We start from the raw sequence: 18,673 nt of genomic DNA on the forward strand, positions 1-18,673 counted from the left end.
GAAACCTCCCTGAGGCTTCACCAGAAGCTGAGTAGATGCCAGCACTATGCTTCCTGTAAAGCCTGCAGAACCATGAGCCAATTAAGACTATTTTCTTTATAAATTACCCAGTCTCAGGTATTTCTTTATATAGCAACACAAGAATGGACGAATATACTCACTATTGAGTGAATCACATAGAGAGTTCTAGTTATTGTCATTTCACTTGTTTGTCTAAATTACTCAATCTCAAGCTTCCTGTGAGGAGATACAATCTTAGATGAATGACTTAATTTGCTAGCTCTTATGTGACAAGCACTGTTAGTGAGAAGATGACCCGTGTTTATAGACTTGTGGAGCAGGCAATCAAGTAGGAAAAACACAGCAATATATCTTACTGTGTTAGTGGAGAAATGTGTAGGAAGCTGTGGGAGAACCAATAAGGGAGCAACTGAGTTGCTGGAGCGATCAGGAAAAGACTAGCTAGAGGAGATTAATTTGAGCTTGATTTTGAAACCTGCGAACAGACAATGGAAAGGCATGACCTGCACAAAGGTTACTAGAGATGCTTCCTATAGGGCAGTGGTTCCCTTGGGGACAATTTTTCTCCACGGAGGATATTTGGCAATGTCTGGAGATCTTTTTGTTTATCAGAACTGTGGAGGTGCTACTGACATCTAGTGGGCAGAGGCAAGAGTTGCTGCTAAACATCTTGCAAGGCACAGGACAGCCCCTAGGCCGAAGAATTATCCTGCCCACAGTGTCAATACAGCTGAAGTTGAGAAAGCCTGCTGTAAGGTTTCCTTTGAAGAAACATAAAAAAAAAAAAAAAAAAGAAAACATAAAATATACTTGGGTAATTTATTATTATATCTTTTATTATTATATTTTAAAATTGATATTTGGCGGGGATGGCAGATGGCTTGCTTTTCAAAGTACACCCCAAAGTTGTAAGAATAGCAACCCCAGTCAGGCCCCAAGGAAGGGCTAGTGTGGGGGACCCTGTCCCAACTCCCCACACATCCGGGCATCACAGTGCAGTTTCCAGAAACAGCAGTGGGTGGCAGAAGACGCTACTGCAGTGAGGCAGAACTGCCCATTAGAAACAAGGAACACATTGGGCCTCTAGTATCTTCAGGTGAATGCAGGAAAAAATGGACTTTGAGAATCAGAAGAAGAAAAAAAATTCCTTAAATGATAAAAAAAAAAAAGCATCGGAAAACATAGAAGAGTAAAAAAGAAAAGATATAAGAAGGTTACAAGGAAATTTAAGCCACAAAATCAATGCTACTATTTTCTGTGTTCTAGTTAAATGATTTCAATTTACATTTTATTTGAGTATCTTTCTGTATTTCCTTAGGATTAATTCTATGAATTTCTTGCTAAAAACAATTCATTCACTTCTTTGGTGTCCTTTTATGCTCAATAATAAAAGCAGTTTGAGTTATGGATTTTCCTCTGTGTACAGTTTTCTCAAAATTATATTTTGTAGCTTGATTTACATTTTGAACAAGAGTGATTTTGAAGAAAATTTTAACATTTCTATGCAGTTTTGTTTAGGTGAGAGGTGGTTTGTTTTTAATTTCTAGTTTAATTGCAAATAAATGATTAATATTTGGAATTTATTGAAGTTTTTTTTGCAGCACAGTTGATTATACAATGTCCTAGGGACCTGTCAAAAGAAAATGCCCTACAGGTTTACAGAACAAGATGAGACCATCCATTTCCCCCCCACAAGGATACCAATTTAACAACTATCTTCACAGTAAAAACACCTTCATAAGAACTAGAAATCAGGTGAGCTCTCATAGTACCTGGTTTTAACTCCATATTGCTGAAAGAGGCACTACAGAGAGAGAAGACAGTCTTGAATTGCCAACGCCACCCCTCCTACACCCCTTCAGCAGTGCGGAGAGCATCTCTGGGCACTGGGGGAGGGAGAACACAACAATTGTGAGGCATTGAACTCAGTGCTGTCCTGTTAGAGCAGAAAGAAAAACCAGACCCAACTCAGGTGATACTCTCCCACAGAGGCAATATTTAAACCGGCCCTAGCCAGAGGGGAATCGCCAATCCCAGAGGGCAGAACTTGAGTTCCTGAAACCTCACCACCGAGGGCTAAAGTTCTCTGTGCTCTAAATAAACGTAAAAGGCAGTCTAGGCCATAAGGACTGCAAATCATGGGTGAGTCCTAGTGCTCAACTGGGCCCAGAGACAGTAGACTGGGAGGGCACGTGACATATTGAGACACCAGTTGGGGCAGCTCAGGCATCATCCCTCCTCTAAGCCCAGGTTGCATGGCTCCAAAAGAAACCCTTTCCTTCTGCTAGAGGAGAAGAGAAGGAAGAGTAGGGAGGACTTTGTCTTGCATCTTGGATACCAGCTCAGCCACAGCAGGATAGTGCACCAGTCAGTGTTTTGAGGTCCCCTTTCCGGGCCCTAGCTCCCAGATGACATTTCTAGACACACCCTGGGCCAGAAAGGAACCCGCTGCCTTGAAGTGAGGGACCCAGACCTGGAAACATTCATCACCTGCTAACTGAAGAGCCCTTGGTTCCTCAATAACCAGCAGCAATACCCAGGTACTACATCTAGGGCCTTGCTCAAGCCTCGAACTGGCTGGCTTCAGGTGAGACTCAGCATGTTACCAGCTTTGGTGGCTATGGGGCAAAACTCCTTCTGCTTGAGAAAAGCAGAGAGGAAAAATAAAGGGGACTTTGTCTTGCACCTGAGGTACCAGTACGGCCACAGGGGAGTATAGCCCCACGTGGGTTCTTGGGGTCTCTGATTCCAGGACTTGACTCTGGGATGACATCTCGGGACCTTCTCTGGGCCAGAAAATAACCCACTGCCTTGAAGAGTGAGTCTCAGGCTAGGCAGCATTCACCACAAGCTGACTTAAGAGCCCTTGGGCCTTAAGGGAACATTGGTGGTAGTCTGGCAGTACTTCTTGTGGCCTGTGGTGACAGTGGCTCTGGAGTGAGGCTTCTTTGCCTTTGAAAAGGGGAAGGAAGAGTGGGAAGGACTGCGTATTGTGGTGTAAGTGCCAGCTTAGCGGCAGTAAAATAGAACACAAGGTAGACTTGTAAGGTTTTTGACCATAGTCCCTGATTCTCAGATGGCACCTCTGGACCCACCTGGGGCCTAGGAGAACTCTCCACCCTGAAGGAAGGACACAGGCTGGGTGGCTTTGCTGCCTGCTGACTGCAGAGCCCCAAGGCCTTGAGCAAACATAGGCAATAGCCAGGGAGTGATTACAGTTACAGCAGGCCTTGGGAAAAACCCAGTGCTGTGCCAGCTTTAGGTCTGACCCAGTGTAGTCATAGTGATGGTGGCCACAGAGGTTCTTTTGTCACTCTACCCCCAGCTTTAGGTGGCTCAGTATAGAGGGAGAGAGAGACTCCATTTGTCTGGGAGAGAGTAAGGAAAGAGAACAAGAGTCTCTGCCTGGTAATCCAGAGAATTCTCCCAGATCTTGTCCAAAACCATCAAGAGGGTACCTCTGTGAGTCTGCAAAAGCCATAGCATTGCTGGGCTTGGGGTACCCCCTAAAGCAGATACAGCTTAGACACTCAAGTTTTTACAACACTCAAGTCTTTTCAAATATCCAGAAAGCCCAAGAAGGACAGATACAAAAATAAGCCCAGACAGTGAAGACTAAAATAAATACCTAACTCTTCAATATCCAGACACTGAAGAACGTCTACTAGCATCAACAGCGTTTAGGAAAACATGACCTTACCAAATGAACTAAATAAGCCACCAGGCATCAATCCTGGAGAAACAGAGATATATGACCTCTTAGACAGAGATTTCAAAATAGCTTTATTGAAGAAACTCTAAGTAAATCAAGATAACGCAGGGAAGGAATTCAGAACTCTATAAGATAAATTTAACAAAAAGATTGAAATAATTAAGAATCAAGAAGAAATTCTAGATTTGAAAAATGCAATTTACATACTGAAGAATGCATCGGAGTTCTTTAATAGCATGATTGATCAAGCAGAAGAAAGAATTAGTGAGCTTGAAGACAGGCTATTTGAAAATACACAGAGGAGACAAAGGAAAAAGAATGAAAAACAATAAAGCACATCTACAGGATCTGGAAAATAGCCTCAAAAGGGCCAATCTAAGAGTTATTGGCCTTAAAATGAGGTAGAGAAGGAGCTAGGAGTTGAAATTTTATTTAAAGGGATAATAACAGAGCATTTCCCAAACCTAGAGAAAGATATCAATATACAAGCACAAGAAGATTATAGAAGACCAAGCAGATTTAACCCAAAGAAGACTACTTCAAGACATGTAAAAATCAAACTCCCAAATATCAAGAATAACCAAAGGATACTAAAATTAGCAAGAGAAAAGAAACAAATATTATAAAATGGAGCTCCTATACATCTGGCTTCAGACTTTTCAGTGGAAACCTTACAGGCCAAAAGAGAGTGGCATGACATATTTAAAGTGCTGAATGAAAAGATGTTTTATCCTAGAGCAGTATATCCAGTAAAAATACTCTTCAAACAGGCCAGGCACAGTGGCTCACGCCTGTAATCCCAGCACTTTGGGAGGCTGAGATGGGCAGATCACAAGGTCAGGAGATCAAGGCCATCCCGGCTAACACAGTGAAACCCTGTCTCTACTAAAAATACAAAAAATTAGCCGGGCGTGGTGGCGGGTGCCTGTAGTCCCAGCTACTCGGGAGGCTGAGGCAGGAGAATGGCGTGAACCCGGGAGGCGGAGCTTGCAGTGAGCTGAGATCGCGCCGCTGCACTCCAGCCTGGGCGACAGAGCAAGACTCCATCTCAAAAAACAAAACAAAACAAAACAAAACAAAACAAAACAAAAACTCTTCAAACATGAAGGAAAAATAAACACTTTCCCAGACACACAAAGGCTGAAGGATTTTGAACAAAACCAGACCTGTCCTATAAGAAATGCTAAAGGAAGTACTTCAATCAGAAAGAAAAGGACATTAATGAGCAATAAGTAATTACCTGAAGGTGGAAAACTACTGAATAGTAAGCACACAGAATATTTAGCCATCTCACCTCAGTTAAAATGGTTTATATTCAAAAGACAGGCAATAACAAATGCTGGAGAGCATGTGGAGAAAAGGAAACTCTTGTACACTGTTGGTGGGAATGTAAATTAGTACAACCATCTTGGAGAACAGTTTGGAGGTTCCTCAAATAGCTAAAAATAGAGCTACCATATGATCCAGGAATCCCACTGCTGGCTATACACCCTAAAGAAAGGAAATCAGTATATTGAAGAGATATTTGCACTCCCATATTTGTTGTAGCATTATTCATAATAGCCAAGATTTGGAAGCAAACTAAAGTGTCCATCAACAGACACAGGGATAAAGAAAATGTGGTACACACAAAACAGATATATAGACCAATGGAACAGAACAGAGGCCTCAGAAATAACACCACACATCTACAACCATCTGATCTTTGACAAACCTGACAAAAACAAGAAATGGGGAAAGGATTCTCTATATAATAAATGGTGCTGGGAAAACTGGCTAGCCATACGTAGAAAGCTGAAACTGGATGCCTTCCTTACACCTTATACAAAAATTAATTCAAGATGGATTAAAGACTTAAATGTTAGACCCAAAACCATAAAAACCCCAGAAGAAAACCTAGGCAATACCATTCAGGACATAGGCATGGGCAACGACTTCATGACTAAAACACCAAAAGCAATGATAACAAAAGCCAAAATAGACAAATGGGATCTAATTAGACTAAAGAGCTTCTGCACAGCAAAAGAAACTAACATCAGAGTGAACAGGCAACCTACAGAATGGGAGAAAATTTTTGCCATCTACCCATCTGACAAAGGGCTAATATCCAGAATCTACAAAGAACTAAAGAAATTTACAAGAAAAAAACAACCCCATCAAAAAGTGGGCAAAGGATATGAACAGACACTTCTCAAAAGAAGACATCTATGCAGCCAACAGACACAAGAAAAAATGCTCATCATCACTGGTCATCAGATTAATGCAAATCAAAACCACAATGAGATACCATCTCATGCCAGTTAGAATGGCAATCATTAAAAAGCCAGGAAACAACAGATGCTGGAGAGGATGTGGAGAAATAGGAACACTTTTACACTGCTGGTGGGAGTGTAAATTAGTTCAACCATTGTGGAAGACAGTACGGTGATTCCTCAAGGATCTAGAACTAGAAATACCATTTGACCCAGCCATCCCATTACTGGGTATATACCCAAAGGATTATAAATCATGCTACTATAAAGACACATGCACACGTATGTTTATTGCAGCAATATTCACAATAGCAAAGACTTGGAACAAACCCAAATGTCCATGAATGATCGACTGGAGTAAGAAAATGTGGCAAATATACACAATGGAATACTATGCAGCCAGAAAAAAGGATGAGTTCATGTCCTTTGCAGGGGCATGGATGAAGCTGGAAACCATCATTCTCAGCAAGCTATCACAAGGACAGAAAACCAAACACTGCATGTTCTCACTCATAGGTGGGAACTGAACAATGAGATCACTTGGACACAGGGCGGGGAACATCACACACTGGGGACCGTCGTAGGGCTGGGGGCTGGGGGAGGGATAGCACTAGGAGAAATACCTAATGTGAATGACGAGTTGATGGGTGCAGCAAACCCACATGGCCCATGTATATCTGTGTATCAAACCTGTACATTGTGCACATGTACCCTAGAACTTAAGATATAATAAAAAGAAAATGTCATACATATACACAATACAGTACTATTCAGCCATAGGAATGAGATCCTGTTATTTGCAACAACATGTATAGAACTGGAGATCGTTATGTTAAGTGAAATAAGCCAGGCACAGAAAAACAAATATTGCATGTTCTTACTTACTTGTGGGATAGAAAAATCAAAGCAATTGAACTCGTGAACATGGTAAAAGCATGGTTACCACAGTCTGGGAAGGGTAATGGGAGACTGGGCCAGGACAGAGGTGGGAATGGTTAATGAGTACAAAAAAATAGTTAGAAAGAATGAACACAACCTGTTAGATCCATTTGGTCTATAATGCAGATTAAGTGAGTGACTATAGCCAGTAGGGTGACTATAGTCAATAATAACAATTGTACCTTTAAAAATAACTAAAAGAGTGTAAGTGAATTGTTTGTAATAAAAGGGTAAATGCCTGAGGGAATGGATACCCCATTCTTTATGATGTAATTATTTCGCATTGCATACCTGTATCAAAATAACTCATGTGTTCTATAAATATATACACTTACTTGGCACCCACAAAAATTAAAAATAAAAATATTTAAGAAAAGAAATGCTCTATAGTCATGTACTGCATAAAAACATGTTGATCAATGGATTGCATATGTTGCAGAAGACCCATAAAAGCATAATACTGAATTTTTGTTGTATCTTTTCCATGTTAGAGGTATAAATACTTACCATTGTGTTACAATTGCCTACTGTATTCAGTACAGTAACATGCTATCTAGGTTTGTAGCCTAGGAGCAACATGCTATCCCATATAGCCTAGGTGTGTAGTAGGCTATACCATCTAGGTTTGTTTAAGTACACTCTATGATGTTTGTGCATATAATTGCCTAATGATGCATTTCTAAGAATGTTTCCCTATCATTAGCTGACAACACGTGACTGTGTGTGTGTATATATATGTATATACAATATACACATGCAACATATATATGCAGTACGCCCTCCTTATCTGTGAAGGATCTGTTCTAAGACACCTAGTGGATGCCTAAAACTTTAGGTGGTACTGAATCCTACATACACTTTTTAAACCTATACCATATCTACCTATAATAGAGTTAAAATTTTAAATTAGACACAGTAAGAAATTAACAACAATTAAAATGAAATATAATGATTATAAAATATAATGTAATAAAATTACATGAATGTGGTCTCTCTCTCACACACACAAAAGATCCAATTGTACTATGCCTTTCCCTTCTTTTTATGATGTGAGAAAATATGCTGCCTACATGATGAGGTGAAGTGAGGTGAATGATGTCGACATTATGAGGGAGCATTCGGTTACTATTGAACTTAAACACAAGTATTTCAATACCACCACAGTCAATCTGATAGCTGAGAGGGTTAAGTAACTAATTGACAGGAAACAACTACAGCATGGATAGGCTGAGTAAAAGGGACAACTCATATCTCAGGCATGACAGAATTTTTTCATTTAATGTTTTTGTACTTGGTTGACCACAGGCATCTAAAACGATGACAAACAAAACTGTAGATAAGGGGGGGGGGACTACTGTATATGATATATATCTGTATATATAATTTTTATTTAAATTTTGTAGTTATTTAATGAAATCCATATTCTTATTTATTTTTTTCTCTCTTCTCTCAAAAGCTGAGATAATATATAATGTTTCCTACAACGATGGTAATTTTGCCAATTTCTGTTTCTATTTCTTACAAAGATTGTTTTATCTATTTGAAATACAGCAAGATTTTTTTTTTTCCAAAATGGCAGATAAGGGGCTTTTTGGTGCCTCAGTCATTTGGAAATAATGATATAATGTATAAAGGTCAATGCTGTGAGCTTTAATGCAAGAAGGAAAATGGGAATCCACTGGAATTGTGAAGGACACACCAGGTCCTGGGGAGGAGAATATGGGCAAAGAGCCCCTGTGATGGCATCCAGCTGATAAAAGTGAGTGAAGCTCCAGTATGCAAAAGAGGCAGAGAGCTTCCCTCTGTGATTCATCTTTCCCCTGGGGATCCAAGCAATCCAGGCTAAGGGAGAGCACTTTGTTTCTCCGAAGCTGTGGAGCTAACTTGGAGAGAGCCTTAGAAATGCTGTGAAAGAGAAACACTGGGAAAAGCTGCAGGCATTTCCCCAGACCTGGGATGCTGAGCAGGATGCCATTTTTAATCCAGGAGCATACAAAGTTAGTCATTCTCTGGTGACCTGGCAGCATGGCTGTGTAGTCAGTTTTGGGCCAGAGATTGGAGCACTTGCTCTAGAGTGGGGCAGATCTCGTGAGACCCATTCACTATCACAAGAACAGCACAGGAAAGACCCGTCCCCATGATTCAGCCAGAACTGTGGAAAATGCCTTAGCAGTAGGCACTGGAATTGTGCTATTCCCTGTTGCGGGCCTACGGCAGGAGAAAAGTTACTACAGCAGCAGTTTCTCCTGGATGATGAGACTGGTAGCCAGGACCAGCTTGATGACTTGGAATAGGTCTGCATTAGTCATTCTGGGTAGCCCAGCCTGCTCCCCTGAGACTGTGGTGCAGCAAGGTCCTCTCTGCTCCACCTCCAGGCAGAATTTGAGGTATTCAGAGCATTCAATTTTCTGGACCAGCAGCCTGGGCATCCCCACTCTTCATGGACATAGATAATGGTGCAGTGGGGCCTTTTCATCTCTACCCGCAGGCAGAAATCCAGACATTTGGAACACCCAATTGTCTGGACCAGCAGCCTGACCCTCCCCACTCTTCCTCTGCATAGATTGTGGTACAGCATGGCACTGTCTACTGATTGTAGGTCAAATTTCATAGCCCAATATAAAACCTTCCAACAAACATGTATAGGGGTACAGAAACAAACCCAAAAGACCCTACTCAGCATTCTCTGTAGGTACACTACATAGGGAGAAAGGGAAATGGAAAGAAGGAAACAATAATATAAGGAAAGAGAGAAAGGGAAAAAAATCCTACCTGCATGAAAATAATTACAAAAATTGAAAGTGTTAACATCTCCAGATGAGACAGAACCAGAGTAAGAATTCTGGCAACATGAAAAATCTAAAGTAGTACCACCACCAAAGGATAACACAAGCTCTCCAGCAATGGTCCCTCATGAAAATAGAAACTCAGAAATGAAAGATGAAGAATTCAAAACATGAATGGTGTATTAGTCCATTTTCATGCTGCTGATGGAGACATACCCAAGACTGGGCAATTTACAAAAGAAAGAAGTTTAATGGACTTATAGTTCCACATGGCTCAGGAGGCCTCACAATCATGGCGTAAGGCAAGGAGAAGTAAGTCACATCTTATGTGGATGATGGCAGGCAAAGAGAGAGCTTGTGCAGAGAACCTCCCATTTGTAAAACCATCAGATCTTGTGAGACCCATTCACTATCACGAGACTAGCACAGGAAAGACTCATCCCCATGATTCAGTCATCTCCCACTGGGTCCCTCCCACAACACGTGGAAATTATGAGAGCTAAAGGTGAGATTTGGGTGGGGACACAGGGCTAAACCATATCATCGGCCTCTGGCCCATCCAAATCTCATATCTTCACATTTCAAAACCAATCATGCCTTCCCAACAGTCCCCTAAAGTCTCAACTCATTTCAGCATTAACTGAAAAGTCCACAGTCCAAAGTCTCATCTGAGACAAGGCAAGTCCCTTCCACCTACAAGCCTGTAAAATCACAAGCAAGTTAGTTACTTTCTAGATACAATGTGGGTACATGCATTGGGTAAATACACCCATTCCAAATAGGAGAAATTGGCCAAAACAAAGGGGCTACAGGCCCCATGCAAGTCCAAAATCCAATGGGGCAGTCAAATCTTAAAGCTCCTAAATGATGTTCCGTGACTCCATGTCTAACATCCAGGTCATGCTGATGCAAGAGGTAGGTTCCTATAGTCTTGGGCAGCTCCACCCCTGTGGCTTTGCAGGGTACAGCCTCCCTCTCAGCTGCTTTCAGGGGCTGGTGTTGGCTTTTCCGGGCACATGGTGCAAGCTGTCAGTAGATCTACCATTCTGGCGTCTGGAGGACAGTGGCCCTCTTCTCACAACTCCACTAGGCAGTGCCCCAGTAGGGACTCTGTGTGGGGACTCCCAACCCTCATTTCCCTTCTGCACTGCCGTAGCAGAGGTTCTCCATGAGGACCCTGCCCCTATAGCAAACTTCTGCCTGGGCATCCAGACATTTCCATACATCTTCTGAAATGTAGGTGGAGGTTCCCAAACCTCAATTCTTGACTTCTGTACACTCACAGGCTCAATACCACATGGAAGATGGCAAGGCTTGAGGGTTGCACCCTCTGAAGCCATGGCTTGAGCTCTACAATGGCCTCTTTCAGCCACAGCTGGAGCAGCTGGGACACAGGGCACCAAGTCCCTAGGCTGCACACAGCATGGGGACCCTGGGCCTGGCCCATAAAACCGCTTGTTTCTCCTAGGCCTCTGGGCCTGTGATGGAAGGGGCTTACACAAAGGTCTCTGACATGCCCTGGAGACATTTTCCCCATTGTCTTGGTGATTAATATTCAGTTCCTCTTTAGTTTCTGCAGCTGGATTGAATATTTCCTCAAAAAATGGGATTTTCTTTTCTATTGCATTCTCAGGCTGTGAATTTTCCAAATGTTAATGCACCTCTCAAATTTTTTTTATACTGTTTCCCTTTTGAAACTGAATGCCTTTAACAGCACAGAAGTCACCTCTTGAATGCTTTGCTGCTTAGAAATTTCTTCCACCAGATACCCTAAATCATCTCTCTCAAGTTCAAAGCTTCACAAATCTCTAGGGCAGAGGCAAAATGCCACCAGTCTCTTTGCTAAAACATAACAAGAGTCACCTTTGCTACAGTTCCCAAAAAGTTCCTCATCTCCACTTGAGACCACATCAGCCTGGACTTTATTGTCCATATTGCTATCAGGATTTTTTCTCAAAGCGATTCAACAAGTCTCTGGGAAGTTCCAAACTTTCCCACATTTTCCTGTCTTTTTCCAAGCCCTCCAAACTGTTCCAACCTCTGCCTGTTAGCCAGCTCCAAATCACTTCCACATTTTTGGGTATCTTTTCAGCAACACTCAACTCCTGGTACCAATATACTGTAGTAGTCCATTTTTATGCTGCTGATAAAGACATATGTGAGACTTGGCAATTTACAAAAGAAAGAGGTTTAATGGACTTACAGTTCCACATGGTTGGGAGGGCTCACAATCATGGCAGAAGGCAAGTAGAAGCAAGTCACATCTTATGTGGATGGTAGTAGGCAAAGAGAGAGCTTGTGCAGAGAAACTCCTGTTTTTAAAACCATCAGATTTTGTGAGACCCATTCACGGGAAAGACCCGCCCCCATGGTTCAATCATCTCTCACCAGGTCCCTCCCAAAACATGTGGGAATTATGGGATGAGATTTGGGTGGGGCTACAGATGAGATTTGGGTGGGGACACAGTGTCAAACCATATCAGACTGCAAGTAGGTTTAATGAGATCTAAGACAAGGTTGGGAATCAGCACAAAGAAATTTCTAAAGCAATCCAGGAAATGAGGGAAGACAGAAACCTCACATAAAAATATTAACCTTTAGTGTAAATGGTCTACATGTCCCCACTTAATAGTCACTGCATGGCAAGTTAGATAAAAAAAATGAGACCCACCCATCTGCTGTCTTCATGAGACCCATCTCACATATAACAACACCTAGGTTCAAAGTAAAGGGTTAGAGCAGGCCTATCATGCAAATGGAACACATAAAAATGCAGGGTTTGCTATTCTTGTGTCACATAAAACAGTCTTTAAGCCAACAACAGTGAAAAAGGACAAAGAAGGGCATTCTATAATAATAAAGCGTTCAGTTAAACAAAAAGGCTTAACTCTTCCAAATATATATGCACCCAACAATGAAGCACCCAGATTCATAAAACAATTACTACTAGAACTATGAAAAGACTTAGACAACCAGACAATAATAGTCAGGGACTTCAACACCCCACTGGCAGCATTGGACAGATCACAAGGGGAGAAAACTAACAGAGAAATTCTGCATTTGAATGTGACACTTGATCAATTGGATCTAATAGACATCTACTGAAGACTCCACCCATCAAACACAGAATATATATTCTTCTCATCTGTACATGGAATAAATTCCAAGATGGACTACGTGTTTGGTCGTAAAGGAAGTCGAAGTCCCAATAAATTTTAAAAAATTGAAATCATACCAACCATATTCTCAGATCACAGTAGAATATAAATAAATATATATATTAATACCAAGAAGATTTCTTGAAACCATACAATTACAGGGAAATTAACTTATTTGCTCTTGAATTACTTTTGGGTGAATAACAAAATTAAGGCAGAAATAAAAAATTATTTGAAACGAAAACAGACACAAAACATACCAAAATATGTGGGATGCAGCAGTATTAAGAAGAAAGTTTATAGCACTAAATGCCTATTTCAAAAAGTCAGAAAGATCTCATATGAATGACCTAACCTCACACCTAGAGAAACTAGAAAAACAAAACAAACTAATACCAAAACTACTAGAAGAAAAAAAACCCCACTAATATCAGAGTGAAACTTAAGCAAATTGAGACACCAAAATACATAGAAAGAATACATGAAACCAAAAGTGGGTTCTTTGAAAGGATAAAGAAGATCTAAGAGTGCTAGGTAGATTAACAAAGAAGAAAAGAGAGAAGATTCAAATAGCCAAATCTGAAATGAAAAAGGTGGCATTACAATTGATCCCACAGAAATACAAAAGATCACGAGAGATGCTTATGAACATCTTTATGCACACAACTAGAAAATCTAGAGGAAATGGATAAACTCCTCCTGGAAATAATCTCTCAAGATTGAAGCAGGAAGAAATGGAAACCCTGAACAGCCCAACATTGAGTTCCAAAATTAAATCAGTAATAAAATACCTGGTCAGGCACAGTGGCTCATGCCTGTTACTCCAGCACTTTGGGAGGCTGAGGCAGGCAGATAACTTGAGCTCAGAAGTTTGAGACCAGCCTGGGCCATATGGCAAAACCCTGTCTCTGCAAAAAATACAAAAATTAGCCAGGCCTGGTGGCATGGGTCTGTAGTCCCAGCTACTTGGGAGGCTGAGTTGGGAGGATTGCTAGAGCCTAGGAGGTTGAAGCTGCAATGAGCCATGTTTGTGCCCCTGCACTCCAACCTGGGCAACAAAGTAAGTCCCTGTCTCAAAATAAAAACAAAAACAAACCTACCAACCCCCAAAAGCCCCAGACCAGGTGGATTCACAGCCAAATTCTAACAGACACAGAAAGAAGAGCTGGTACCAATCCTACTGAAACTATTCCAAAAAATCAAGGAGAAGCTATACTTCCTTAACTAATTCCATGAAGCCACCCATTCTGTGATCCCTGATATCAAAATCTGGCAAAGACACAACAAGCCAATATCTCTGACAAACATAAACACAAAAGTCCTTAGCAAAGTACAAGCAAATTGAATCCAGCAGCACATCAAAAAGTTAATGAACCATGATCAAGGCATCTTCATTCCTGGGATGCAAGATTGGTTCAATATATGCAAATTAATTAATGGGATTCACCTCATAAACAGTATTAGAAACAAAAACTATATCATCATCTCAATAGACACAGAAAAAGTTTTCAATAAAATCCAACATCCATTCATGCTAAAAACTCTTAAAAAAATAGGCATCCAAGGAACTAACCTCAAAATAATAAGAGCTATCTGTGACAAACCCACAGCTAACATCATATTGAATGAGCAAAAACAAAGCATTCTCTTTGAGAACTGGAACAAGAACAGAATGCCTGCTCTCACCACTCCTACTCAACATAGTACTGGAAGTCCTTACCAGAGCAATTAGGCAAGAGAAAGAAATAAGAGGCATCCAAATAGGAAAAGAAGCATTTAAACTATCTCTGGTCATGATATGATTTTATACCTAGAAAACACTAATGGCTCTACCAAAAGGTTTTTGGAAGTGATAAATGACTTCTGTAAAGTTTCAGGATACAAAATCAATGTACAGAAATTAGTATCATTTCCATACACCAATAACATTCAAGCTGAGAGCCAAATCAAGAATGCAATCCTATATATAGTAGCCACAAAAAAATACCTAGGAATACATCCGACCAAGGAGGCGAAAGATCTCTACAAAAATAACTGTAAAACACTGCTGAAAGAAATCATAGATGACACAAACAAATGGAAAAACATTCCATGTTCATGGATTGGAAGAATCAATCTTGTTAAAATGGCCATACTGCCCTAAGCAATCTACAGATTCAATGCTATTCCTATTAAACTACCAAGGTCATTTTTCACAGGACTAGAACAAAAAACTATTTTAAAATTCATATAGAACCAAAAAAGAGCCCAAGTAGCCACAGCAATCCTAAGCAGAACGCAAAACAAAACAACCAAAAAACAAAAAGAAAGAAACAAAGCTAGAGGCATCATACCACCCAATTACAAACTACACTATAAGGCTACAGTAACCAAAACAGCATAGTACTGGCACAAAAATAGACACATTAACCAATGGAATGGAATAGAAAACCCAGAAATAACACTGAACACCTACAGCCACCTGATCTTCAAAAAAAGTTGACAAAAATAAGCAGTGGGGGTAAGGACTCTGTATTCAATAAATGGTGCTTGGATAGCTGATTAGCCATAGGCAGAAGAATGAAACTAGACCCCTACCATTTACCATATAGAGAAATTAACTCAAGATGGATTGAAGATTTAAATGTAATACCTCAAGCTATAAGAATTCTATAAGAAAATCTAGGAAACACCACTTTGGACATCAGCCTTGGGAAAGATTTCATGATTAAGTCCTCAAAAGCAATTGCAACAAAACCAAAAATTGACGAGTAGACCTAATTAAACCAAAGAACTTCTGCACAGCAAAAGAAACTATCAACAGAGTAAACAGACAATCTACAGAATGGGAAAAATATTCTCAAAGTATGCATCTGACAAAGGTCTGATATCCAGAATCAATAAGAAACTTAAACAATTGAATCAGCAAAATCCAAATAATCCCATTAATAATGGGCGAAAGAAACAACAGACACTTCTCAAAAGGAAACATACACACGACCAGCAAGCGTATGAAAAAATGCTCGTCATCACTAAGCATCAGAGAAATGCAAATCAAAACCACAGTGAGATACCATCTCACATCAGTCAGAATGGCTAGTAATAAAATGTGAAAAAAACAGCAGATGCTGGCAAGGCTGTGGAAAAAAAGGGAACTCTTACACACTGTTGGTAGGAATGTAAATTAGTTCAGCAACTATGGAAAGCATTCTGGAGATTTCTCAAAGAACTTAGAACTATCATCAGTCCTGTTACTGGGTCTATACTCAAAGAAAAATAAATTGTTCTACCAAAAAGACACATGCACTCATATGTTTATTGTAGCACTATTCACAGTAGCAAAGACATGGAATCAACCTAGGTGCCCTTCAACAGTGAATTGGATAAGGAAAATATGGTACATATATACCACAGAACACTATGCAGTCATAAAAAAGAATGAAACTGTGTCCTTTGCAACAACATGGGTGCAGCTGGAGGCCATTATCCTAAGTGAATTAATATGGAAACAGAATACAAAATACACATGTTCTCATTTATAAGTGGGAGATAAACAATGGGTACTCATGGACATTAAGATGGCAACAATAGACACTAGGGACTCCAAAAGAAAGGAAGGAGGGAGAGGGGAAAGGATTGAAAACCTAACTATTGGGTACTATGCTCAGTACCTGGGTGATGGAATCAATTGAAGTCCAATCTCAGCATCATGTTTTAAGGAGGTTCTTGTAGTCATAGGGTCTATACTAGTTTCTTATGAGAAGAATATGTGGGTACTTCAGGGAAGGTGAGTAGGTGAATGTGATGTTTGAACTTCAGATGGAGGGAGGTTTATATTTTTCCAGGTTGTCCAGCAGGAAAGGAAAAATATTTTAGAGAGCAACTGACTCCCCGTGTCAAGGCCTTTTGGGGAATGACATGTTGTTTGGGGTGGCTTATTGAAGAGTAGAGGTACAGAGAGAGTTGGAACAGGTGAGAGGTGGGTTTGCTGTTCACAGGGCAGAGAGAGAAGAGTGAGTAGTCAGTGGCTATTCAACATGTGGAACAAGCTGTCATGCTGAGCTGTGTATCATGAAGTTTCAGAGCAGAATAGAAGACAGTCTTACCTTATCACGGCGAAAGCAGAGGCACTTTGTTTCAAAGATGAGAAAATTCAAGCTCTGAAGGAAATGGAACCTGGCTAAGATCACACAACTGTGAAGTTCTGAGCTGCGATTTCAACCCAGGTGTGTCTCACTGGAATGGAGCCTCTTCAAGGCAATGCCCTGTGGCGATAGGAGGTACATGGCCAAGCTGCAGGAAAGGGACACAAAGGAGAGAAATTCTTGTGTTGGACAGAGAAATGGCCATCTGTGCAGCCATTTTTGGGGGGATGGATGTCTGATGGGGGTGCTAGGGTAGAGGCAATGCCGGCAGGGCCAAGGTCCTAGAAGAAGTGTACTCACAGTCATACCTGTGGGGTATAGGTGCCAGAAAAACATAACCATTCAACAGAGTAGTTAGAGTGTTTTTAGCTGCTTGTTAAGAGCTTAGTACTGTGATTATGAGGATTTATACAACCATCATTCAGCATTTTAATTTAAACACTGGAATGCACATGAGATGACAAGCCCCCTTTCCTATGAATGTTCTAGAGGAAGGTGGCATCAGATGGGAGGAAGACAGCACTCAGAAGGTGTGAACTGAGGGTGGGGATGTGGAAACTTGGTCTGAAAGATCTAACGTTTTGGGAGTGGGTAGCAGATGGAGTTGTAGGGAAATGTGAGGAGACTCTGGGAGCCTTAGCAGCTGGCGAGGTTGGGAGGTTGGGGCAAGATCTTTATAAGAGATTTCCACCTTGAAAAATTCCCCATAGTAGGTGTGACCCAAGAACAGCGTGGGAAGCAGTGTGACAGACGCTGGGCTGTGAAGTCTCTATCCTTGTTACCATGGCATCTGCAGAAATGTTGTACTATATACAATAGCCTCCTGAGAGGTTCAGGGGAAATAAGAAAAATGTGGTTATGTTCTGGTTTTGGTTTGCATCATCCCCAGATGCAGAAAAATGTGGGTAGATGAACAATTCAGGCAGAACCAAAAATCAACTAGAGGAAACAACAACAACAACAATGAACTCACAATGATGAGTATGCCAAAGGAACACAAGAACCAATTGAAAATGTTTCCAGTGCCCAAAGTTAGAGTAATCTGAGTAAATACATAATTAAAGCAATATTGAATTATAAATCAAAGTATAAAATAAATAATAGTGAGTTCATACTGATGTAAATAACGATTAAATAAATGAGTGGAGAAGAGACAAATGTCTCATACAGAAGAATTTTAAAAATTTATATAGATATTTCACCCTCAAGGAAGTGGAGCATATTCCTTACTACTTAAGTATGAGGGACACACATGTCCTTCCAAAGAGTAGTGTATGGAAGTCAGGCAGGGAGAACGAGTTTACACTTTAGAAACATGCAAAACACTATCTCATAGGTGACCAAGGTTAACATTAAAAGTGACAAATTATGTTGATAGTACCATTTATATGATGTCATAAGAATGGTGCTTACTTCTGTGGTCTTCCTTCCCCAAACTCTTAACTCCAGTCTAATCTTGAGAGAAATGTCAGACAAAGCCAAATTGAGGAACATTTTACGAAATACCTGACTAGTACTCCTCAAACTGTCAAAAACACCAAAAACAATGGAAGTCTGAGAAACTGACACAGTCAAGAGGAGCCTAGGGAAACGTAACAACTAAGTGTAATGTGGTTCCTGGATGGCATCCTAAAACAGAAAAATAACATTAAAACTAAGGAAACTGAATACAGAGAAAGGA

General features: G+C 40.6%; 1 annotated feature.

Moving 5' to 3' along the window:
* Window positions 10,389-10,890: an enhancer, noted in NCBI's record as "H3K27ac hESC enhancer chr10:82788811-82789312 (GRCh37/hg19 assembly coordinates)". NCBI's record gives its function as "activates a minimal SCP1, AML or CMV promoter by ChIP-STARR-seq in primed H9 embryonic stem cells {active_cell/tissue: H9 hESC(primed)}" and the evidence as "EXISTENCE:reporter gene assay evidence [ECO:0000049][PMID:30033119]".

Source organism: Homo sapiens, chromosome 10 (assembly GCF_000001405.40).
Source record: "Homo sapiens chromosome 10, GRCh38.p14 Primary Assembly".
NCBI classification, from domain to species: Eukaryota; Metazoa; Chordata; class Mammalia; order Primates; family Hominidae; genus Homo; species Homo sapiens.